The 23,813-nt window shown below is 53.3% G+C and overlaps 1 protein-coding gene across 3 annotated transcripts in view, besides 2 other annotated features; it reads right to left on the bottom strand.

Moving 5' to 3' along the window:
- Positions 1–23,813, bottom strand: part of LAMC3 (laminin subunit gamma 3) — an 85,300-nt gene that overhangs the window by 9,809 nt on the left and 51,678 nt on the right. For 2 of the 3 annotated variants that reach the window (XM_011518121.2, NM_006059.4), the window contains exons 13-24: positions 23,442–23,630; positions 17,460–17,705; positions 16,434–16,587; positions 15,615–15,757; positions 14,815–14,993; positions 13,040–13,181; positions 11,830–12,035; positions 11,344–11,420; positions 8,700–8,834; positions 7,331–7,478; positions 5,367–5,516; positions 2,504–2,606 (exon numbers count right to left, since the gene is read on the bottom strand). In XM_011518121.2, coding sequence (XP_011516423.1) covers positions 2,504–2,606; positions 5,367–5,516; positions 7,331–7,478; positions 8,700–8,834; positions 11,344–11,420; positions 11,830–12,035; positions 13,040–13,181; positions 14,815–14,993; positions 15,615–15,757; positions 16,434–16,587; positions 17,460–17,705; positions 23,442–23,630 — 1,872 coding nt within the window. Of the gene's footprint in view, positions 1–2,503; positions 2,607–5,366; positions 5,517–6,589; positions 6,767–7,330; positions 7,479–8,699; positions 8,835–11,343; positions 11,421–11,829; positions 12,036–13,039; positions 13,182–14,814; positions 14,994–15,614; positions 15,758–16,433; positions 16,588–17,459; positions 17,706–23,441; positions 23,631–23,813 lie in introns of those variants that run through there. The other variant, XM_006716921.3, reaches the window with a different exon arrangement.
- Positions 5,068–5,631: an enhancer, noted in NCBI's record as "H3K27ac-H3K4me1 hESC enhancer chr9:133954421-133954984 (GRCh37/hg19 assembly coordinates)". NCBI's record gives its function as "activates a minimal SCP1, AML or CMV promoter by ChIP-STARR-seq in primed H9 embryonic stem cells {active_cell/tissue: H9 hESC(primed)}" and the evidence as "EXISTENCE:reporter gene assay evidence [ECO:0000049][PMID:30033119]".
- Positions 15,198–15,707: an enhancer, noted in NCBI's record as "H3K27ac-H3K4me1 hESC enhancer chr9:133944345-133944854 (GRCh37/hg19 assembly coordinates)". NCBI's record gives its function as "activates a minimal SCP1, AML or CMV promoter by ChIP-STARR-seq in primed H9 embryonic stem cells {active_cell/tissue: H9 hESC(primed)}" and the evidence as "EXISTENCE:reporter gene assay evidence [ECO:0000049][PMID:30033119]".

Genomic DNA, 23,813 nt, shown 5'->3' with positions numbered 1-23,813 from the left:
TTGGCTTCCCAAAGTGCTGGGATTACGGGTGTGAGCCACCACACCCAGAGGAAATGTTAGAATTCCCATAGATTTTATTATCCAATAAGAAGTAGTTTATTTCTTGGTAAACAAAGAGACTATTTCCTTTCCTTTCAGATAAAATTCTAAGGGAAATTTAGTCAGGTGCGGTGGCTCATTCCTGTAATCCCAGCTACTCTGGAGGCTGAAGCAGGAGGATCAGGCCAGGAGTTCAAAACCAGCCTAGGAAACATAGTGAGACCTCATCTCTACAAAAAGACAAAAGCTTAGCTGGGCATGGTGGCACACACCTATAGACCTAGCTACTCACGAGACTGAGGTGGAAGGATCACTTGAGGCCAGGAGTTGGAGGCTACAGTGAGCTATGATTGCACCACTGCACTCCAGCCTGGGTGACAGAGTGAGACCCCAACTCAAAAAAAAATTCTAAAGGAAGTTTATCATCAAAAGAACTGAATACAGGCCAGGCACGGTGACTTACGCCTGTAATCCTAACACTTTGGGAGGCGGAGGCAGGTAGATCACCAGAGGTCAGGAGTTCAAAACCAGCCTGTCCAACCTGGTGAAACCCTGTCTCTACTAAAAATACAAAAAAAAAAAAAAATGCCGGGTGTGGTGGCGGGCACCTGTAATCCCAGCTACTCAGGAGGCTGAGGCAGGAGAATCACTTGAACCCAGAAGGCAGAGGTTGCAGTGAGCCGAGATCATGCCACTGTACTCCAGCCTAGGCAACAGAGCGAGACTCTATCTCAAAAAAAAAAAAAAAAAAAAAAAAAAAGCACTTATTACAGTGGACAAAGTAAAAGTCAATTTTTAAAATGAATAAAGCCTTCTAATCTTTGAGGGCATAATATTATAGAATTGTTCCATCCAGAAATTAGACCTGCTTTGCTCCTTGTACACAAAATTGATGTTTCTCAGCATGTATTGTGTGGAGCCCTAATTCTCCACGGTGTTAACAAACGTTAGGGGGAAGTGTCAATTAAGTTGAAAGTGAAGCAGGTTTCTTTATTACAGGCCTTCTCAGAACCTTTAATATTCTCAAGCGTTCTCTGTAAGACCTCAAGAGGATGCTGCAGCAAGAGACAGTTCCTAAACTTATTTGAACACAAACCCTCTCTTGGCAGAGCGTATCAATAGGCTAGGAGACCCCCGGCCACACCCTGGGGAAGACTGCTCCACAGTTCACCTTGTGAATTTTCCTTTTATCCTGAACACCAACTGAGCACAGCCAAGCTGGTGGTAAGAAAGGGTGTCTCTAAAATGGGATCAGAATGGGGAAAAGAGCCTGGGGTTAGAGGTTTGAGGTTAGCCCTCCTGTGGATTATGGGAACAGTGCAAGGAAATTTCCATCCACTACACACAAGAATGTTCTCATTCTCAGAACCCGACAATGAGAAGGTAAAAGCTTGTAAGGTAGTGAGCCCCCCATTGTTGGAGATAGGCAAGCTGAGGGTGGGCGAGTCCACTGCCAGGTGTGAGATTTGCAGCAGATGACCTTAAGACCTCTTATAATTCTAATGTTCTAAGATCCTAACATTCCATCATTATAAGTCATTGAATGTACCTTTTTCTAAATATGACTCTAGATACTTAAGCACACACGGCCACGCCTTTCCGACAGGAAGTCCCCAAACGATGGGTGACTAGGACTTCAAGCCGCCAGGAAGCTGGGGAACAGGAGCACTGACCAGCCCATCCTCTGCCCCAGAGGGGCTGGGTCCACAGCTAGCGCTCCATCTCTTCCGGGCAGTGGGCAGGGCTGGGGAGGGAGGCCACAGAACAACAGCAGAAGCCTGACTTCTGGCCTCAGACCCCAAGAGACATCTGGGGTTCAGAGTGTGTTCCTGCCTTATCCAGCCCGTTGGATAAGGAGCCACAAACAAAGGGTGAGGGGGCTTCTCTCTGGAGCAAATTGGGTATCACAGAAGCCCATCACACAGGTGGATACTTGCAGAATCGTAATACTTGCTGGCTTCTATTCCCAGCTTAGCTCTGACCCAGGGATGAATAGCAATTCCTTTCCTCAGCCTACCCATCTGCAAAATGGGGGCACTAGACTGGCATCAACCCATAGCCCCTTCTAAAGAGAAACTCCATCTGCTTCCCATAGCCCCAACTCAACATTGGACCCGGACAGCCATATTTGTATCAGATAACTAACTGGAGCCCAGGCCAGAGTGGACTTGACCTGGTTGAACAGCCAATGATGTTAGAGTCTCCTCTCACTTGGTCTGGAGGGGCTCTGCATGTGGTCTGATGACCTGGGGTGTATGGGATAGCCACATGGGCAAGTCCGAGGTGAGTGATGTATGAGATGGGGCAGGATCCTGAGAGGTGGAGGGAAAGTCTGTTTGGCTTAATTAAGCCCACAAGACCAGACTCCTGTCCTCTGCAAGCCTGCCCTGGCTGAGGCGAGAGGTGAGTGGCTGTCAGGGGCGTTCGTCATTACACAGCCTAGTGGTCAGCTGGACTCACGTACCTTCCAGATCAGCCAGCAGAGTCCTGGCTCCCATGACAGTCACTGTCGCAGCCTGGACAGATGAGGAAGCCTGGGTCAGGGCGGCTCTGGCCTCCTGGTGCAGCTGGAGAGAGATGAGGAGAGGCTGGGCAGCTGGCTCCACAGGAGCAGGGCCCAGGGGCAGCTCAGTGGGCACCAAACCCACATACATGGGTGCCCAAATCATCACCAAATCCCTGACGCTGGGTCACGCTGTCCACCAGGAGCACCTGATCTGTGTTATTATACAAAAGTTGAACTCCGAATGTCTCCCAAGAGATACCTGTCCACAAAAGCCCGGAGGAAAACTAAAACACTAGAATTAAAGGAACGAGAACACCTGAACATCTCTTTAGAACATGTTCTATTGGCCAGGCACAGAGACTCACACCTGTAATCCCAACACTTTGGAAGGCCGAGGTGGGCAGATCACTTGAGGTCAGGAGTTCGAGACCAGCCTGGCCAACATGGTGAAACCCTGTCTCTACTAAAAATTTATTTAAAATTAGCTAGGTGTGGTGGTGCATGCCTGCAATCCCAGCTACTGGGGGAGGCTGAGGCGGGAGTATGGCTTGAACCTATGGGGCAGAGGTTATAGTGAGCGGAGATCAAGCCACTGCACTCCAGCCTGGGTGGCATAAAGATTCCATCTAAAAAAGAGAGAGAAAGAAAGGAAGGAAGGGAGGGAGGGAGGGAGGGAGGGAGGGAACACTGCTCTATCTCAGCAAGTGGATGTGAAAATCGCAAATCTGTTTATGACACCACCTTGACTTATGGAAGATCAGTTTCTTCCCCACTGCCACTCAACAGGACTAGATACACTGAAAGAATTTGGGTCTGATAGATGAGTGGGTAAACAAAATGTGCTTCATCCACACACTGGAATATGACCGAGCCTTTCAAAGGGAGGAAGTATAGATCCAGGCCGCAAGGCAGGTGAACCCTGAAAAGGTGATGCCATCAGGAGGAAGCCTGACACCATCGGCACATATTACACGATTCCATTTCTGCAAAAGAGCTGGACTAAGGAAATCTACAGAGACAGAGAACAGAGTGGAGGCTGCCCGGGCCTCGGAAGTGGAAATGAGGAGGGACTGCTGAGTGGGCATGGAGTTAGGGGTGGTGAGAATGTTCTGAAACTAGACTGAGGTGGAGGTGGCATAACATCGTGAACGTGCTAAAGCCATTGCATCTAAAATGGGTGTTTGTATGCCACGTGAATGTCACTGTAACAAGAATAAATAAATAGTAGTTTGAGGAGCCACTAGTACTGCCTCAGGCCTATTCTGATTGCTCATGGGGTGGGGAGGAGGACGAAGGCATGGGTGCTGTGGTGGGGTGAGGCATCTGTACACGCTGGGGCCTGGCCCTGACTCCTGGGGAAGTCACCTCTCTTCCTGGCAACCTCACCCTGGACGAGGGCAGTGGACCAGATCAGCAGGTGCTACCCCGGGGGCAAAGCCAAACTCCCCGGGTAAGCGGCAGGCACTGGGCTCAGCTCTTCAGATACATTCTCATGCCTCACAGACAGCCCCCTTATCCTGTCTTTAAAAGGAATGGAAGCCGGGTGTGATGGCTCGTGCCTGTAATCCCAGCACTTTGGGAGGCTGAGGTGGGTGGATCATCTGAGATCAGGAGTTCAGCCTGGCCAACATGGTGAAACCCCATCTCTACTAAAAATACAAACATTAGCTGGGCGTGGTGGTGAGGGCCTGTAATCTCAACTACTCTGGAGGCTGAGGCAGGAGAATCGCATGAACCTGGGAGGCAGAGGTTGCAGTGAGCCGAGATCGCGCCACGCACTCCAGCCTTGGTGACAGAGTAAGAGTCTGTCTCAAAAAAAAAAAAAAAAAAAAAAAAAGGAATGAGGCTGGGTGTGGTGGCTTACACCTATAATCCTAGCATGTTGAGAGGCCGAGGCAGGTGGATCACTTAAGGCCAGGAGTTCGAGACCAGCCTGGCCAACACAGTGAAACCCCATCTCTACTAAAAATACAAAAGAATTTAGCTAGACACGGTGGCACACACCTGTAGTCCCAGTTACTCTGGAGGCTGACCCAGGAGAATCACTTGAACCCGGGAAATGGAGGTTGCAGTGAACCGAGATTGTGTCACTGCACTCTAGCCCAGGCAATAGAGCAAGACTGTTTCAAAAACAAAATTAAAAACAAAATTATCGGTACAGCTGCCTTGGAAAGTGGCCGCTTCTCTGCAGCTTTCAAATGAGCCATGAATGAACTAGAGAATGAACTAATGAATGGAGGCATGAGAGAGAATGATCCCAGGATGGTGGGTGTGGCCCCGGGTGCTGCTGCTGCTGTCCTCTGTCAGTCTATCCATCATCTCTTCTCGGGGTATCAGGGTCCCCTCCCCTATCTCAGGCTGTATGTGGAGTTTTGCAGGAGGCACCAGAGGGATGGACAGAGCTACTTCTTCTTTTTTCTTTTTTTTGAGATGGGGTCTCACTCTGTTGCCAGACTGGAGTGCAGTGGCGCGATCTCAGCTCACTGCAACCTCCACCTCCTGGGTTCAAGCGATTCTCCTGCCTCAGCCTCCCAAGTAGATGGGACTATAGGCACATGCCACCATGCCTGGCTAATTTTTTGTATTTTTAGTAGAGATGGGGTTTCACCATGTTAGCCAGGATGGTCTCAATCTCCTGACCTCGTGATCCACCCGTCTCGGCCTCCCAAAGTGGTGGGATTACAGGTGTGAGCCACTACACCCGGCCGGACAGAGCTACTTCTGTCTCTGCCCTTCTCCCTCCTGCAACCCTGACCCTGGATCACCTTCAGGGTAGCCCCAACCTCTCCCAGGTCCCCTGCTTCAAAGCACAAGAGCTGACCTTTGTGAGGGGTTCTGTTTGCCGTAGCGTCGCCTGGGCAGCAGTCTGGAGGGTTCGGGCAGCCTCAGTGGCCATGTGCTGCCATGATGCAACTGTCTTCTCCAGGGCCTTCGCCTTCAGGCCCAGGTCTTCAGCCCGGGACTTCTGAGGCTGCAGGGAGACAATGCGCTCAGGCAGGGCCTGGAAAGGAAGGGCAAGCAGCGGATCCTCTCCTTGGGGGAGGTGCCCTGCTGGGCTGAGGCGGCGGGTCTGCCCCTGGCTGCCAGCCAAGAACCCAAGCCCCCTGAAAACCTGGTGAGCCTAGCTGATGCCCCAGGTAGCTCGGAAGCCCAGAGGCAGGAATAGCAGGGGTCAGGCTTTGTGTGGACCCCTGGAGGCAGAGGGCCCAGGGCGAGAGGAGCCAGGCTGGGGAAGCCCTTACTTGGGGCTCAGATGACAGTCCTACCAATTTCTAGCTGCGTGGCCTTGAGCAACCCAGCTAACCTCCCTGACCCACACTGCCCCACTGCAAAGTGGGAATGCTTCCCCAGCTCCACAGCCCTGAACTGAGATCTGGGGGCTGGATGGCTTCCGAATGCAGAATTTCCCAGACTTATAGGAGAACTGTGCAGGTTCTACCTATGACCTAACACCCTGAGTGGTGCTGGAAGCAGAACCTGGGCTCAAACACACTAACAGCTGTGCATTACTCTCCGCACGCAGTGGGAGGAGCAAAGATCTCAAATAAGCAGCCTTGGGCATCAATCTGGGTTAGCACTTGTCCCAAATGCATTTTTATAAGCTGAGTTTTTTTTGTTTTGTTTTGTTTTGTTTTGAGACAGAATCTCACTCTGTCACCTAGGCTGGAGTGCAGTGGCGCAATCTCAGCTTACTGCAAGCTCCGCCTCCCAGGTTCATGCCATTCTCAGCCTCCCGAGTAGTTGGGACTACAGACGCCCGCCACCATGCCTGGCTAATTTTTTTGTATTTTTAGTAGAGATGGGGTTTCACCATGTTAGCCAGGATGGTCTCGATCTCCTGATCTCGTGATCCGCCCGCCTCAGCCTCCCAAAGTGCTAGGATTACAGGTGTGAGCCACCGCGCCCGGCCAAGCTGAGTTCTTTAATGTTCAGTTTCTGAGTTTTGGGATTTCAGGGTTACTGAATCGACACGATGGACCCGGTTCATGCAGAGGTGATGAGTATAAGGCGATGAGCACAGAGGGGTCGGCCAGCTACCTCGTGCATTGCTCCCGAATCTCTGTCCAGCTCCCATGGAAGCAGCCTCGAAATAACCTAATGGGTGAGTTCTATGTGACAGACTGAGGCTCAGGAAGGGAAAGTCCTTGGCCGAGGTCACAGAGCTGGAGTGGCAGAGCTGGGATTGCATCCCGTGTCCATCTGATGACACTGCTAATGTCACTGTAAGGAGGAAGAGGCCCCAGCCTTAACATTATCAACAGAGAATGGTTGAAATGGTTGAGCTCTGACTCTGCCAAGCCCCATAGGTAGGTTATATCATTTGACTTAGCTGCAATATAGTTAAAAATGAGCCATATCACCTGCCTCTGCCTGGGCCCCACCGGTTTCTCCAGCTGCTATAATAGTTTTTTTTTTTTTTTTTTTTTTTTTTTTTTTTTTTTTGAGATGGAGTCTTGCTCTGTCGCCCAGGCTGGAGTGCAGAGGTGCAATCTTGGCTCACTGCAGCCTCTGCCTCCCAGGTTCAAGTGATTCTTCTGCCTTAGCCTCTCCAGTAGCTGGGGTTACAGGCACGCACCACCACACCTGGCTAATTTTTGTATTTTTAGTAGAGACTAGGTTTCACTACGTTGGCCCAGGTGGTCTCAAACTCCTGACCTCAGGTGATCCACCCGCCTCGGCCTCCCAAAGTGCTGCGATTACAGGCGTGAGCCACCGTGCCCAGCCTCCAGCTTCTATAATAGATCCTCCCGACCCCACACGGAGCTCTGAGACAACTGAGCTGACCAGAGCTCCCGGGGAAGCCAGCAAGGCCAGGTACGGGGCTGTATCTGCGCCAACTTGCTGCACGGTGGCCAACACGCTTTCCGCTTCAGGCAGCACCTCTGCCACAGCCGTCCTCAGTGCTTTCTGGGCCGCCTGGACCTCCTGGTACCTGGGAGGAAGCAGAGGCCACGGAGCTGGGTGCAGAACTAGCCCTCCCCATCCCTGTCTGGGCCCCAGGCTGGAGCCACTGGTTTGCAAAGGCCTCTGCCAACTTCCCAGGCAGAATAGCCCTCTGCGGGGTAGGTACAGCTGCCTCGGAAAGTGGCTGCTTCTCTGAAGCTTTCAGATGAGCCAGACGGGCTGTGAAAGGGCCACATTCTTGTTTCTGCATCATTCAGCTCAGCCACACTTTGCTGAAAGGGCTCTGCTTGGTTTCCACTCAAGAATCACATGTTTGCAAATGTTTGGCTCTTCTGGGTGAATGGTGAAGAGGAAAATGCCCGGTGAAGTGGGGAGCACAGCGGCCCCGGTCCTGGTCCTGGCTCGGCCATGCCCTTTCCAGAGACCTTGGGCACGTCCTCACCACTGATGAATGGAGAGCCCTGGGCTGCAGAATCCCTGTGGGCCCTTTTGCCCTGACAGGCCTGTGGTCTATAACCAATCAGCTAGGATGGGTTTTCTGTCCTGACCAGCTGTCCACATCCTGTCCCACCCATTCTTCCTCGACAAGGGCATTGCTGGGGTGGAGACCTCTGGCTTCCCTTCCATCCCTTACTCCTCCTTAGAGAGCCATCGCTCTGCCCCTGGGGTGGGTCATGTGACCTCCCCCAGCCATGGTGACTGGCTCAGGGCTGGACACCTGATCTAAGCGGAGCCAATCCCATTCTCGTTTAGGAATGTCTCGTTTAGGAATGTCAAGGGGCTCAAGCAAGATGCTGGGGAGTCTCCATGAACCTTTAAACTGAGAGGGACAGAAGGGGTCACCAAAGCAGAAAAGCAGAGCCGTCTGTCTGCAGAGGCAGAGAAAGAAGCTGGTGCCTCAGAGGAGCTCAGAGGAGCTGCCCTGGGCTGGGGCGCCGGGGCCAGGGGGGTCAGGGAATGCGGCAGAAGGAGAGCAAGGGATCTGTTGCTCTGGGTTCCAGTTCTTGTCTCTTCTCTTGAAGAGGCTGAGTTGCATCCCCCCAGGCAAAAGTGGGTTACTGCGACTCACCACCGAGTGGGCCCAAGACCCTGTGGCCCCACTCCGAGGAGGATGCAGACCCAAGACACCAACGACAAAGAACGTCAGGACTCAAGGGAGCTGGCTCTGGAACCAGCAGCCTTTGGCTAGGCCCTGTTGGCTCCAGGAGGCCAACCCCAAAGTTTCTACCCACACCTGGGGAGGCCTCACCTGTCCTCCAGGTCCCGCTGGGTCTCTAGGGCCACCCTTCCCTCCAGCAGATTCCAGAGAAGCGCGTAGCTGGTGTTGGAGGCGAGCAGGGCCCTCCAAGCAGTGGCTGCGATCTTGGTGGCGGTGTCTCTGTGGCTGTGTGAGGACACCCACCTGAGCATTACCAAGGGCTCGCAGGGAAGGGGCCCAGGATCAGAACTACGCCCCCTACTACACAGGCCTCCTGCTGCCCCTAACAGAGGACAGCCACAAAGACAGGTACGCCTTTTCCACCTTTCTGTGTTACGCACTTCAAGGACTGACAGGAAAGGTACTCCATGCCCTGTTTCTGTTACACAGAGACATAGAGTTTGTGTCTGTTGTCCTGACATAAGGATTAATAGGACTTTTTTTTTTTTTTTTTGAGACAGAGTCTCACTCTATTGCCCAGGCTAGAGTGCAGTGGTGTGATCTCAGCTCACTGCAACCTCCCCTCCTGGGCTCAAGTGATTCTCCTACCTCAGCCTCCCGAGTAGCTGGGATTACAAGTGTGCACCAGTTAATTTTTGTATTTTAGTAGAGACAGGGTCTCACCACATTGGCCAGGCTGGTCTCGACCTCCTGTCCTCAGGCGATCCACCCACCTCGGCCTCCCAAAGTGCTGGGATTACAGGCGTGAGCCACTGCACCCAGCCAGGGCCTTATTTTTTTCTTTTTAAGAGATGGAGTCTTACACCGTTGTCCAGGTTGGAGTGCAGTGGTGCCATCACAGCTCACTGCAACCTCAAACTCCTAGGCTCAAGGGATCCTCTCGCCTCAGCCTTCCAAGTAGCTAGGACTACAGGTGTGTGCCACCATGCCCGGCTAATTTTTAAAATTATTTTTGTAGCGATGGGGGTTTCACCATCTTGCCCAAGCTGGTCTGTAACTCCTTGCCTCAAACGATCCTCATGCCTCAGCCTCCCAAAGTGCTGGGAATACAGGTGTGAGCCACTGTGCCTGGCCAATAGGACCTTTTATCACACGTGAAAGCATCTCAGTTTGGACAATAAATTGTACAGTCACCCCAATATAGACAGCATAGAAGAGAGTGGTCACGACAGCCTGGGTTTGAATCCTGGCTTTATTGCTTCCAAGCTGTGTGTCCTTAGGAAATTCCTTAACTTCTCTGAATGTTTTCTCATCTGTAAAATAAGTCTAAGGTCCCTGGAGCGTAGCTAAAGGAGAAAATTGTCACAGATCCTGTGTTTTTAGGATCTTAAGCTGCGTCTTTTTTTTTTTTTTTTTCTTTGAGATGGAGTCTCATTCTATTGCCCAGGCTGGAGTGCAGTGGTGTAATCTCAGCTCACTGCAACCTCCACCTCCCAGGTTCAAGCGATTCTCCTGCCTCAGCCTCCCAAATAGCTGGAATTATAGGTGTGTGCCACCATGCCTGGCTAATTTATGTACTTTCAGTGGAGACGGGGTTTTACCATGTTGGCCAGGCTGGTATTGAACTCCTGACCTCTAGTGATCCACCTGTCTCAGCCTCCCAAAGTGCTGGGATTACAGGCGTGAGCCACCGCACCCAGCCTTAAGCTGCTCCTTAAAGGCAGTGGATGAAACAACCCAAGTGTCTGTTAACAGAAGACGGATAAACAACATGTGGCATTTCCATACAATGGGATATTATTCAACTGTAAGAGGAGTGAAGCACTCACCCATGCCACAATGTGGATGAGCCTTGAAAACACTGTGCTGGCCGGGCGCGGTGGCTCACGCCTGTAATCCCAGCACTTTGGGAGGCCGAGACAGGTGGATCACGGGGTCAGGAGATCGAGATCATCCTGGCTAACACAGTGAAACCCCCATCTCTACTAAAAATACAAAAAAATTAGCTGGGCATGTTGGCAGGCGCCTGTAGTCCTAGCTACTTGGGAGGCTGAGGCAGGAGAATGGCACGAACCCGGGAGGCGGAGCTTGCAGTGAGCCGAGATAGCGCCACTGCACTCCAGCCTGGGGGACAGAGCGAGACTCCGTCTCAAAAAAAAAAAAAAAAAAAAGAAAAGAAAAGAAAAAAAAGAAAACACTGTGCAAAGCAGCCAGTTGTAAAAGGCAACACATTGTCTGATTCCACTTCTATGAAACACCCAGAATAGGCATATCTATAGAGACAGAAAGTAGAATAGTGGTTCCAGGGGCTGGGGAGGTAAGGAGAAACGGGGGCTGATGGCAGATGGGTCCAGGGGTTTGTTTTTGGGATGATGAAAATCCTAAAACTGGTTGTGGTGATGGCTTTGCAACCCTGAGAATATAGGGAAACCACTGAATTATACAGTGAGACAGAGTCTCACTCTATTGCCCAGGCTGGAGTGCAGTGGGCAAAGGCCTCTGTATAGTGTGAACTATACCCCCAATATAATAACTTGTATATTACACAACTCTCACAAAGAGAAAGCCGGCAGATGCTCTCTGACGCCTTCAGTCCACCAAGCTTTGCCCCTAACATCTCTGGACTTATACCCACCTTGCCTGCCCCTCCCCATGCTGGTGACACTGCCTCCATCAGACAGCTCTTGTAATATCTGATCCCAACTTCTGGGTGGGGGCACCTGTGGGGCTGACTCTGACCCTGGAACCCCCAGGAGAAGGGCCAGGTGTAAGCTCACCATGTCTTGGGACTCACCTCCTGGCGAGGGCACGGGCCTCTGTGGCCAGGTGGCTCCATTTGGTCGGCTGACTGGGACCTTCCTGAGGAATCTCCTGTAGAAAGAAGAGGAAGAGGAGGAAACTGATGGCCCATCGCCAAAGGGTAAGGGCCACATCTGGTCCAATTGTGAGGCAGAACTGGATGGCACCCGTCGTTTTATAAATGCACAAAGCTGGCCACAACATCGGCATTCAGTGAGCGGAGTCCTAGGATGCAGAAACACCAATAAGGATGCAGCCCACCACTTACTGCGCATTCAGTCTCCTCGGAACATGCCTCGCCCTTTGCAAACATCCTCTCGCTGAATCCAGGAGGAGGCACTGTGTGATCCCCACTTTGCAGATGAAATTAAGCCTCCCAAAGTGGGGAGTCATACCCAAGGTCACCAGGTCAATGGGAGGGCTGGGGCAGGGACCAATGCCCAGGTTTGGTGTGTTCGGGTAGGGGGGTCCCCTGGGATACCAGAGACGCGAGAATGGCAGCTGCATGCAGAATCTCCTCTTCCGAGGACTCCAGCACTGCCTCCAGGTCTGCCAGCTGGGTGCAGGTCTTCTGGGATCCGGCCTGGGCACAGCGGGCACCCTTGTTCAGCCTCTGCAGCTGCTCCCGGGCGGCCTTGACAGCACCCTCGAGGCTCATCATCTGCTCCAGGAAGGCTTCCCGAGCCCCTATGGGAAGCCCACAGCCCAGGGGTCACAAAGTGGTGGAGATGTCACACAAAAGCCCCCACCCCCAGGGGTCCCCTTCTGTGGCCTCCATTCCCCAGGCATCAGCAGCCCTGAGCACCAACAGGTAGTCCCAAAGGCAGAGTACCCCCATTTTCCAGGTGCAGGCCGAGGCCCAGAGAAGGCAAACATGACCCGAGGTCCTACCCACAGCAAGTCAGTCATACACAGGGACCGGGAGAGACCCAGGCCTTCTGGAGCCACACAAGCAATTCTGGACCCTTCAAATCAGCTCTGATTCACAATGTGGCTCACATGTGGGCATTTTAAGACACGGTATCTGATAGCCCCTATTTCCACAGTGAGTCCTGCTAACAGGTTCTCAGCTCGCCTCTGTCTGGCTGCTAAAGGAGTGTAGCACTTACACATATAAAACTTCACAAAGTAATCCAATCCATTTCAGCGCCATTTCCAGGTCCTCCCTCCCTCCCTGCTTCCATTCATAGAAACAAGGTCTTGCTGTGTTGCCCGGACTGATCTCAAACTCCTGGGCTCAGGCAATCCTCCTGTCTTGGCTCCCAAAGTGCTGGGATTACAGGAACGAGCCACCACACCTGGCCCTCCTTCTTTTGTCTTATTTACTCATTTATTAAGATTTTCTATGTGCTGAGCACCGTGCTGGCCTATGGCAGAGCAAAACGGCCAAGAATCAAGACAGCAAGACCCTCCCAGTCCAGCCTCTGAAGCAGCGCCTCATGACACCCCTGTGGAGGGAGTGAATAAATGAATGAGCCCAGCCCCATCCTCACTGAGCTTAGAGTCTGAGTAGGGCAGAGGCATGGTGACAAGGACTGATATTAATAAAGTTACAGGTGGGCTAGGGAAGTAAAGGCCCATGGCAACAGGGCTGTTTTGGGAGGGCCCCCAAAGCATCCAACGACACCAGACTGCAGGCGCTGGGGGCCTCCCCTTGCCTCCCACCCTCCCGCTCTGCGCTCCTGCTGTACCTGGAAGCAGGTGATGGCCCTGGTAGACGTCCCCCCTTGGGGCCTCTCCCAGCAGAATGTCTAGTGGTCCCCAGGGACTGCCACAGTCGGACCCTTGGAGCCACCCCTCCGTCAAAGTCAGTCTGGCCTTCAGCTTGGCTGCCTGGAGAGGACAGGAAGAAAAGGTGTATGAGGCTGGTGGCATGGAGGTCCTGCCCAGACACTCCCGCTGGCTTCTACCCTGCCACTCTCCCTGGGGGTTCCCTTCTCCAAATCCTCCCCTGGGCCTCAGCGCTAAGGGTATGCCACACCTCTGAGAGCCAATCCTGCCCACCCCATGGTAGCTGTCCCTTCCCCTCCCATCCTCACGGCACCTGCCGACACCGCTGACCACACTGCTGTCCTACCTCGGAAGGTGGGGAGGAAGGGATGGGGAGGGATGCCCCACGAGGATTTCTGCCTGTCCTGTTCGCTGTGTTCCCAGGACGCCACATGGAGAAAGCACACTATGGACACTGGCTGAATGTGCTATGAACATACCCTAGCTCCATCTTTTCATCAGACAAACAATAACTGCATTTACAGAACACTTCCTAGGAGCCAGTCTCAGCACAAATGCCTGCCATGTCCCAGCTTGATTCCTCCTGTCACCGCTCTAAGTGAAGTGGCAGGCACAGGTCCTGGGCCCTGTCCTCCATTCCCAAGTCCAAAATGTTCTGAAAAGCCACAAGGCATTCCATTCCTCACTCGAGAGCAAAACCTTACCTGAAATAAACCTGTTCTGAAAAAGGCTACTTGTGGTCTTCATTTACCCACTTCGTGGAAATAGTCGTCTGTTTTCCTGCATAAATATCACTGGGCTTGACTATGGGGGCTGCCCATTCACAGTGGGGGATTATGTGATATTCAGCACAGCATGCATCTTTTTTTTTTTAGACAGAGTCTTGCTCTGTCACCCAGGCTGGAGTGCAGTGCAGTCATGATCTTGGCTCCCTGCGACCTCCGCCTCCTGGGTTCAAGCAATTCTCCTGCCTCAGCCTCCCGAGTAGCTGGGATTACAGGTGCGCGCCACCCCACCCGGCGAATTTTTGTATTTTTAGTAGAGACAGGGTTTCACCATGTTGTCCAGGCTGGTCTCAAACTCCTGACCTCACGATCTGCCCGCCTCAGCCTCCCAAAGTGCTGGGATTACAGGCGTGAGCCACAGCACCCGGCCTTCAGTGTATGCCATCTTATCTTTCTACAATGCCACACATTCTGAAAGCTGGCCCCACTGGTTTCTAGAAAAGGATTGCAGGCCTGAACTATCTCCAGTCTGGAGTACGAAAGAGACAGAGGCTTACCAAGGCTGTTGCCTGCCCAGACACATGACAATGAATGGAGTTGGGGGAGGGGAACCCCAATGGGTTAACCCTAGAGCTTGAACTCCGGACTTCTGCACCAGCCACCTTCCCACTCAGAATCACCTCCTGTTAACCCTCTTTACCAAGGGGTCATCTGTGGTCTCATCCCCACCGAACCTGAGAGAGTGAGACCCCAGCCTGGCGTGGTGGGGAAAGGCAGGTGACAAGAGTCACATTTCCCCCATCCACCTAGAGCAGGGGAAGGGCCGAGGTGAGGGTCGAGCCAGGCTGGAACAGGCCTGAAGCTGGGTGGGCACAGGGAGAAGGTAGGTGGTGGGCTTGCAAAGCCTGAGCACTGGGGGTAAGCAGGCAGTTCCTGGTGCCCGGCATAGAGCTGGCACTTGCTGGGAATACAGAATGAATGGAAAGGTGAGTGGGTCTGGGCCGACTCACCTCCTCCTTCACCAGGGCGTAGCAGGACGGACATTGCTGGCAGTGTGTGCCGTCTGCCGTGAGGAAGAAGTTGTCGTGGCAGCGGTCACATTTGTAGCCCTCGAAGCCAGGCCTGCACACGCATGTGCCGTTCTCGTGGCACTGGGCCGAGGCAGCGCCCAGTGGGGAGCACCTGCAGGCTAGAGGGGCCAGGGGCAGTGCGTGCTGGGTTTAGAGGGGCCAGGGGCAGTGCGTGCTGGGTTTAGAGGGGCCAGGGGCAGTGCGTGCTGGGTTCTGGGTGTTCCCAGAATGCCCTAGGCAGCATCAAAAACATTCCTGGGCCCTTCCCTGGAGATTCTGATTCAGAAGGTTGAAGGTGGCACAGAGCCTGGCTTATTCCAATGTTCCCTCGGGATCTGAGGACCAGCCAGGTTTAGGAACTGCCAATGCAGCCCAACTCTACAGGTGAGGAAACTGAGGCCCAGAGAGTGACATGATGGCCCCAGGCACACAGGCACTTAACAGCGCGTCTGGGACTACATTCCTGGCCGGCATGAGGACACTGGCAGGCTGCAGAGGGCCAGAGACTTGGGCGAGGGTCACAAGCACAGCCCTGCACCCACTGCTCTGGGTCATGTGACTCTGCTGTCCCGGCCACTGCCACGGGAGCAACTCGCTCCATGCTTCCGGCTGCTCTCGGGACCCTGTCCCATGTCTGACGATCCTTTCCTGCTGCGCCCATTTTCCCCATCAGTCATCTCTGCCCAGAGACCCTCGGGCCCCACCCTCAGGGCAGCCCGGGAAGGACCCAGCCTCCTTACCCCGGCAGCCCTTGATGGAGAAGCCGAAGAAACCCAGCTGGCACCTGTCACAGGCCTGGCCTGTGACACCTGGGCGGCAGGTGCACTGTCCAGTCTTGGGATGGCACTGGTCCTCCTGGGAGCCCAGTGGGTGACACTTGCAGCTGTGATCAGGGAAGGAACTGGGTCTGAGGCAAGCTCAGGGCCACTCCTGGCCCAGCCTCTGCCGGCTGCAGCTGGCTGGGGCCTCAGATCACAGCCCTCTGCTGACAAGACCCCATCTCCTCTCGGTGCATGGCACAGCTTCCCCAGCTGTGCTCTGGAAAGCACAAGTTTCCCAGGATGCTCAGGGAGAAAAGAAGATAAAATAAGGCTATGGGGACAAACGTGTCTCGGGGAGACTATACCCCTCTGTTGGAAAGTCATGATGCAATCAGCATAGTAAGAGCTCTGAGAAGTCCTGCAAGGAAGAAACCTGTTTGCTCCACTTGGTGTTTCCCTGGAGTCCTCCTGTTCCCTAAGAACACTTGTCTAAGGTGCTACTGTGGCCAAAAGGCCACCCAGGGAGAGTGTCACTGAGAAGGGAATCAGAGACCAAACCGGCCACCTGCCTGCCTGGACACCCTTTAGGGCTGCTCTTGGCCTGCATCCTGGGCTGGCAGGAGCATGAGTCGGATGCCAAGAGTCCATCCCTTTGCTCCCCTTCGGCAAAGGGCACAATGTGCCTGGCAGTGGGCCTAGGACAACACCTTCCAAACCAGGCCCCTCCCTGGGGGCTGCCCGATGCCTTCTTCCCTCCTGGAGAGGTCCCCAGGGCACCGGCAGTCTCACCCTACCTACCTCCGGCAGCCCCTCCCAGGCTGGAGGTCGAAGAAGCCAGGGTAGCAGCGGCTGCAGTCCCGTGCAGTCACATGAGGCAGGCAGGAGCATTGGCCTGTCACTGGGTCGCAGGGCATCTGCTCACTGACCGAGCCCTGTGGGTGACAGCTGCAAGCTGGGGGCAGGAGCAGGAAGGGGTGTTGGGAACAATGCAGATTGTCTGTTCCAACTTTGGGGGTCCAACAGAGGCAGAGGAGATGGGGGAGCCTCCAGAGATGATACGGCACATTCAGCCCAGATTCAGACGCCACTGCTGGAAAAAGGCTCCAGGGCCAAGCTCAAGCCTCAGCCCATTGACTATATCCTTAGAGGGACAGCCCAGGACGGTCATGGTAACAGACAATCCTTCTGAGCCTGCCCTGAGCCCTGGCAGGCTGCAGAGGGCCAGAGACTTGGGCGAGGGTCACAGGCACAGCCCTGCACCCATGGCTCTGGGTCCCGTGACCCTGTTCTCCTGGCCACTGCCAGGGGAGCATCTCACTCTGGGCCAGAGCGGTGTTTCCTGCAGGGGTTCCACAAAGCGAGAGTGAGCAGGAGCCGGCAGCTGCTGCGTGGGAAAGGGCTCCAAGCACATCAGTGTGGAGCAAAGGCTGAGCTTCCCTCCTGCAGGGCTCTGGGAGCCTCCCAGGGGCTGAGTGTTAACTGAGGTGATGAGGGGAGGCATGGCCATGGAGACCCGGCGCAGGGCGATCACCGGGTCAGCCATACGTGCTGACTGCAGAGTGGGAGGTAAGCACTAGACAATCCAGGCTTCGGATCAGAGTTTATAAGATCTCCCGGCTGAAAGAGACCTGGGAGAGGGGCAAACCCTTGTGCTTTCTGGACATGGAGACAGGAAGGGAAGTGACCTGCCTGAGGCTGGACAGCCTTGCAGAGGAGCCAGCTGGTTCTGGTGGGTTCCTCAGCCACCCCTTCTGGGCCCTGAGCCAGGGCAGAAGAGAAGGGGCCCACCATGTGCCACCCTGGGGTCTGGAGGTAGGTACTCACGCATGCATTTGTCTGCGGGTCGAGGGGCCAGGGCGCTCCCGTAGAAGCCTTCCTGACAGTGCTCACAGTGGTCACCCGTGGTGTTGTGCAGGCAGCGCAGGCAGTGGCCAGACAGGGGGTCACAGTTGCCCACGGCATTGGGGTCCACGTTCCCGCTACACTGGCACTGGTGGCAGGGCTGGGGGTGCCCAAAGAGCCCCAGCGGGTCCCCAAAAAAGCCATCATCACAGACCTCACAGCGCCGCCCTGTGTGTAGAGGGAGCACGTGTGGGGAACACAGCTGGCTGGACCCACCAGGGATGAGGGTGGGTGTGAAGCAGAGCAAGCGTCCCTCCACCTTCCCCGGAGCAGCACGGGCTTGGGCAGGAGGACCTGGGACCGGCCCCCAGTGGCTGCCCACAGCTGTGTGGTCCTGAGCAAGCCACTGCGCCTCTAGGAGCTCAGGTTCCTCATCTCTAAAGCGGGGACAACAATGGCAGCTCCCCACAGGACTGTGGGGAGGATTCAGTGACATAATTTGTGAAAAGCGCTTAACATCCAGCCTGACATGTAGTAAGCACTCAGGAGTGGTGGCTATCATCACATATCTGTCCTCACACCCTCATCATCATCGTCACCATTATCTTCACCATCACCACTATCCCCAGCAGCACCTCAATCACCATGACCTTCTTCATCATCATCCTTATATTATTATTATTATTATTATTATTGAGATGGAGTCTCACTCTATCACCCAGGCTGGAGTGTAGTGTGGTACGATCTCGGCTCACTGCAACCTCTGCCTCCTGGGTTCAAGCAATTCTCCTGCCTCAGCCTCCCTAGTAGATGGGATTACAGGCACCCGCCACCATGCTTGGCTAATTTTTGTATTTTTAGTAGAGACGGGGTTTCACCATGTTGGCCCAGCTAGTCTCAAACTTCTGGACTTAAGTGATCTGCCCGCCTTGGCCTCCCAAAGTGCTGGAATTACAGGCGTGAGCCACCACAACCGGCTATTTTTATTTTTTTGAGATGCAGTCTCGTCCTGTCACCCAGGCTGGAGTGCAGGGGCGCAATTTCGGCTCACTGCAACCTCTGCCTCTGGGGTTCAAGAGATTCTCCTGCCTCAGCCTCCCAAGTAGCTGGGACTACAGGTGTGTGCCACCATGCCTGGCTAATTTATTTGTATTATTAGTAGAGATGGGGTTTCGCCACATTGGCCCTGCTGGTCTCGAACTCCTGACCTCAGGCCTCGCAAAGTTCTGGGATTACAGGCATGTGCCACTGTGCCTGACCTTCATCATCATCCTGACCATCATCTTCATCATCATCTTGACCACTAACCTCATCCTTCTCATCATCACCTTCCTCCATCATCATCATCTTGACCATTATTCTCATCATCATCACCTTCATCACCATTGTCATCTTGACCATTATCTTCATCAACATCACCTTCTTGACCATTATCCTCATCATCACCCGTGATCACGTGTGGTGGTGTGTAGCCAGTGCAGGCAGTGGCCAGACACGGGTCACAGTTGCCTACAGCATTGAGGTCCACATTCCCGCTGCACTGGCACAACTGTCATCGTCACCTTATCTTTATCATCACCTCATTGTCATCATTTTGATCATTATCTTCATTTTCTTCATCACTATTGTCTTGATCACTCTCTTCTTCCTCACCCTCTTCATTGTCACCATCCAATGTCATTCATCTGCTTCTCCTCGTCCTTTTCCTCATCCCCCTCTTAGCTGGGTGCATTTTCCTTTGCAATCCCTGGCCCCTTTACCTTTTCTGTTTCTCATGTTTTCTGAACTTCCTCTAGACTGTGCATTGCAGACTCCTGTCCTGCTTTCTGGGTTTGACCTGGGCTTTCTGGCTCATCTTCCAGCCTCCAGGTTACCTGTGAGCTGCAGAAGACATGCTGTGCGAGGGGGCTTTTGGAGGGTGGTTCTAGAGGTCTACTCTGGACATAGACGGAGCATAAAAGAACATACTTGTTCCAAGTGCTTCACATGGTGTCAGCCACTCTTTGTAAACATGCCCATCTCTCTGCCTATATCTACATGAAACCAGTGTCAGGCCCAAATAATAGCCATGGTCCCCTGGAGGTGACAAGAATGCTGCCTTGCTTACATGATTTTTTCTTTCCTTTTCTTTTTTTTTTTTTTTTTTTTAGATGGAGTCTTGTTCTGTTGCCCAGGCTGGAGTGCAATGGCACCATCTCGGCTCACCGCAAGCCCCACCTACTGGGTTCAAGTGATTCTCCTGTTTCAGCCTCGCGAGTATCTGGGATTACAGGCGTGCACCACCACACCCAGCTAATTTTTGTATTTTCACTAGAGACGGGTTCTTGTCATGTTGGCCATGCTGGTCTGGAACTCCTGACCTCAGGTGATCCGCCTGCCTTGGCTCAGCCTCCCAAAGTGCTGGGATTACAGGTGTAAGCCACCACGCCCGGCTGCTCACATGTTTTTTTCATGTTCCTCTTGACATTTTTACACTGCTCCAACATTACAATGAGTATGTACATTTCTTTTTTTTTTTTTTTTGGAGACGGAGTCTCGCTCTTTCACCCAGGCTGGAGTGCAGTGGCGCGATCTCGGCTCACTGCAGGCTCCGCCCCCCGGGGTTCACGCCATTCTCCTGCCTCAGCCTCCCGCGTAGCTGGGACTACAGGCGCCCGCCACCTCGCCCGGCTAATTTTTTGTATTTTTACTAGAGATGGGGTTTCACCGTGTTAGCCAGGATGGTCTCGATCTCCTGACCTTGTGATCTGCCCGCCTCAGCCTCCCAAAGTGCTGGGATTACAGGCGTGAGCCACTGTGCCCGGCCATGTACATTTATTTCTATTTTCATTTATTTTTATTTTTTATGAAGTTACTAAGTCAGTCAAGAGTATGTACTAATTTTATAATTAAAAAATAGCTGCTGCCATTGTGAAGAATAGTTGTGAGCTCCTTGTGTCCTCAAAAGTCATCGGTCTGTTGAAATGAAGTTAATGGTACTGGCTGGGCGTGGTGGTTCATGCCTATAATCACAGCACTTTGGGAGGCTGAGGTGAGTGGATCACTTGAGGCCAGGAGTTTGAAACCAGCCTGGTCAACATGGCAAAATCCCATCTCTACTAAAAATACAAACATTAGCCGGGCATGGTGGTGCATGCCTGTAATCCTAGCTACTCGGGAGGCTGAGGCAGGAGAATCGCTTGAACCTGGGAGGTGGAGGTTGCAGTGAGCTGAGATCATGCCACCGCACTCCAGCCTGGGGGACAGAGTGAGACTCTGTTTCCAGAGAAAAAAAAGTTAATAGTGCTAAGGGCAACCCTGAAAAGGAAAAGGCGGAACGGAACGGAAAGGAAAAGACAAACTGGAACAGAATTCAAGGTCGAGGCTAGCACCTGCCTTGTGGATTCTAAAATAGAAATAAAATTAGACAGGAAAGGGGGAGATTGAAACTGATGATGATGAGTGAGCCCCATGGTTAAGTGGCCATTCACCTGGAACCAGGTGAGGACAGCTCATAGGGCAGGAGGCAGCTCTGGAAGTCCTGGGAGGGGCTGCAAGGGGCCAGGATGGCAGGCAGGAGTCTTCCCAGGACAAGTGAGCATCAGGACTTGACCCCGGTCAACCCTGACTCAGATGTCCAGGTGAGCTCTCAGTGTGCTAGGCCCTCCCGGGGCCCAGAGGACACTGGTGTGGATAAGAAGGGCACTGGCAGAAGGTCCCAGGTCTAAAGTCCACTCCAGGTGTCCCTCCCTCCCAAGGGTGGTTCCCTCTGCACACAGCACTGCCTGCTCCCCTGAAATCCTCCCTCAAGTATGTCTCAGCCTGGGTCCACCTGAGCTTCTCTAACTGTCCACTCTCACTGGGTGGGCCTCGTGCATGTCTGCAGGCCAGGGGAGCCACAGTCGGGAGCTAGAAAATGTAAGGGAGATAACGAGAATGGAGGGACAGCATGGCGGCCAGTGGGGTGCAGGGTCCCGCAGTGCAATCTCCATCCCTCGGTTCTTGAGCTCCCGGCTCTGGAGCCATCTGCCCTGCCCTGTTGGCTGTTGGCTGCCAGAGAGCTGCTTTCAGAACAGTCCCAGTGAAAGCACATGGCATTTGACAAATTGATTTAATGCAGCCACACGTACCAAAAGCAAAATCAGATGTCTAGGAATCTTAAAAACATTACACTGCATGAAACAAGCCAGATCCAAAAGAACAAATACTGTATGGTTCCGTTTAAATGGAATACTGGGAGCAGTCAAATTCATAGAGACAGAGAGGAGAACAGCTGTTATCAGGGGCTGGAGGGAGGAAGGGCTATTCAACAATCCTTTTTTTTTTTTTTTAATTTTTTTGAGATGGAGTCTTGCTCTGTCACCCAGGCTGGAGTGCAGTGGCACGCTCTTGGCTCACTGCAAACTCCGCCTCCTGGGTTCAAGCAATTCTCCTATCTCAGCCTCCCGAGTAGCTGGGATTACAGGTGCCTGCCACCGCTCCTGGCTAATTTTTGTATTTTTAGTAGAGACGAGGTTTTGCCACGTTGGCCAGGCTAGTCTCAGACTCCGGACCGCAGGTGATCCGCCCGCCTCAGCCTCGCAAAGTGCTGAGATTACAGGCATGAGCCACTGCGCCTGGCCTCAACAACACATTTGATGGGTACGGTTTCTGTCTGGGATGATGATAAAGTTCTAGAGATGGATGAGTGACAGCTGCACAGCATTGCAAATTGTACTTCCTGACACTGAGTTATGCACTTAGAAATGGTTAAAATGGCAAATTTTACGTTATATATATTTTACCATAATAAAAATTACTATTGTAACATGTCAAAAGTCATTGAATTATACTTTATTTTATTTTTTGAGACAGAGTTTCACTCTTGTTGCCCCGGCTGGAGTGCAGTGGCGCGATCTTGGCTCACTGCAACCTCCGCCTCCTGGGTTCATGCGATTCTCCTGCCTCAGCCTCCCGAGTAACTGGGACTACAGGCGCCCGCCACCACGCCTGGCTAATTTTTCGTATTTTTAGTAGAGACGGGTTTCACCGTGTTAGCCAGGATGGTCTCAAACTCCTGACCTTGTGATCCACCCGCTTCAGCCTCCCAAAGTGCTGGGATTACAGGCATGAGTCACCATGCCCGGCCTGTACTTTATTTAAAAAAAAATTTTTTTTGGATATAGGGTCTGGCTCTGTCACCCAGGCTGGAGTGCAGTGGTGAAATCTCGGCACACTGCAGCCTCCGCCTCCCGGGCTCAAACCATCCTCCCACCTCAGCCTCCAGAGTATCTGGGACCACAGGTGCATGCCACCACACCCAGCTAATTTTTGTGTTTTTTTTAGAGATGGGAGTCTCACTATGTTGCCCAGGCTGGTCTTGAACTCCTGGACGGAAGTGATGTGCCCACCTTGGCTTCCCAAAGTGCTGAGATTACAGGCATGAGCCACCACACCCAGCCGAATTGTATGCGTTAAATGGGTGAACTGTCAGGTATATGAATAGTATCTCAATAAAGCTGCTTTTTAAAAAAAATCAGAGTCGAGGATGTCTGAGTCCAGAGCAGGAAAGAATACAAGGAGCCTGGGAACAAGGGTGGGCGTAGGTGGTTCTGCTTTGCACATTACCTACCTGATGACATTTTTTAAAGGCTAGAAGTTTAATCGAGGTTTTCCACCTTAGCTGTGTAACAGAATCACCCAGGGAACTTGTTCAGCTATCACTAACCCAGGCTCTAAGGGGCCAGGGACCAGATACGGGTATTTTCAAATAGCCCAAATTCTCAATGGCCCAAATTCTGCTGGCAATGTGCGGCAGCCTGGGGCTCTGGCTATGGGGCTGAGGGATTCCGTGTCCTCAGAGGTCATGCCTGCTGCCCGTAAGCTGGGCTCTCCCTCACCTGCCACACCCTAAACCCAGGGCCCTAACCCTGGAGCCCAGGGCATAGTCACAGTGCCGGGGCTTGGCCCTCTGCGGGGCAGGGCTCCGGGGCAGGAGTCACTTACCTCTCTGGCCCGGGGGGCAGTGGGTACACACCACCTCCCGGCTCTCTGGGATGGTCGTACAGGCCGACTGGCCAGGGCAGGGACAGGGCTGGCAGTCGTCGGCTTGGCCCGCGAAAGGGTTGCCATAGAAACCTGGCAAACAGCGTTCACAGGATGGGCCCTCGGTATGGTGGCTGCAGACACAGATCCCTGAGGGGCAAGACAAGCACCACTGTCTGAACCCAGAATGCCCAGAGATGGTGGGCATCCCGGTGGGAGAGGTTAGGGAGCACATCCCGGGCAGAAGTGGGGTGGGGACCTTTCCCAGGCAGAGGCAGCAAGGCCTGGGGATTGAGGGTCCAGGCCTGGAGCTGGACCACCTGGTTCATGTCC

The sequence above is a fragment of the Homo sapiens genome, chromosome 9 (assembly GCF_000001405.40).
Source record: "Homo sapiens chromosome 9, GRCh38.p14 Primary Assembly".
NCBI classification, from domain to species: domain Eukaryota; kingdom Metazoa; phylum Chordata; class Mammalia; order Primates; family Hominidae; genus Homo; species Homo sapiens.
Note: the sequence above shows the minus strand (reverse complement) of the source record. Positions and strands in the feature narration are given on the sequence as shown.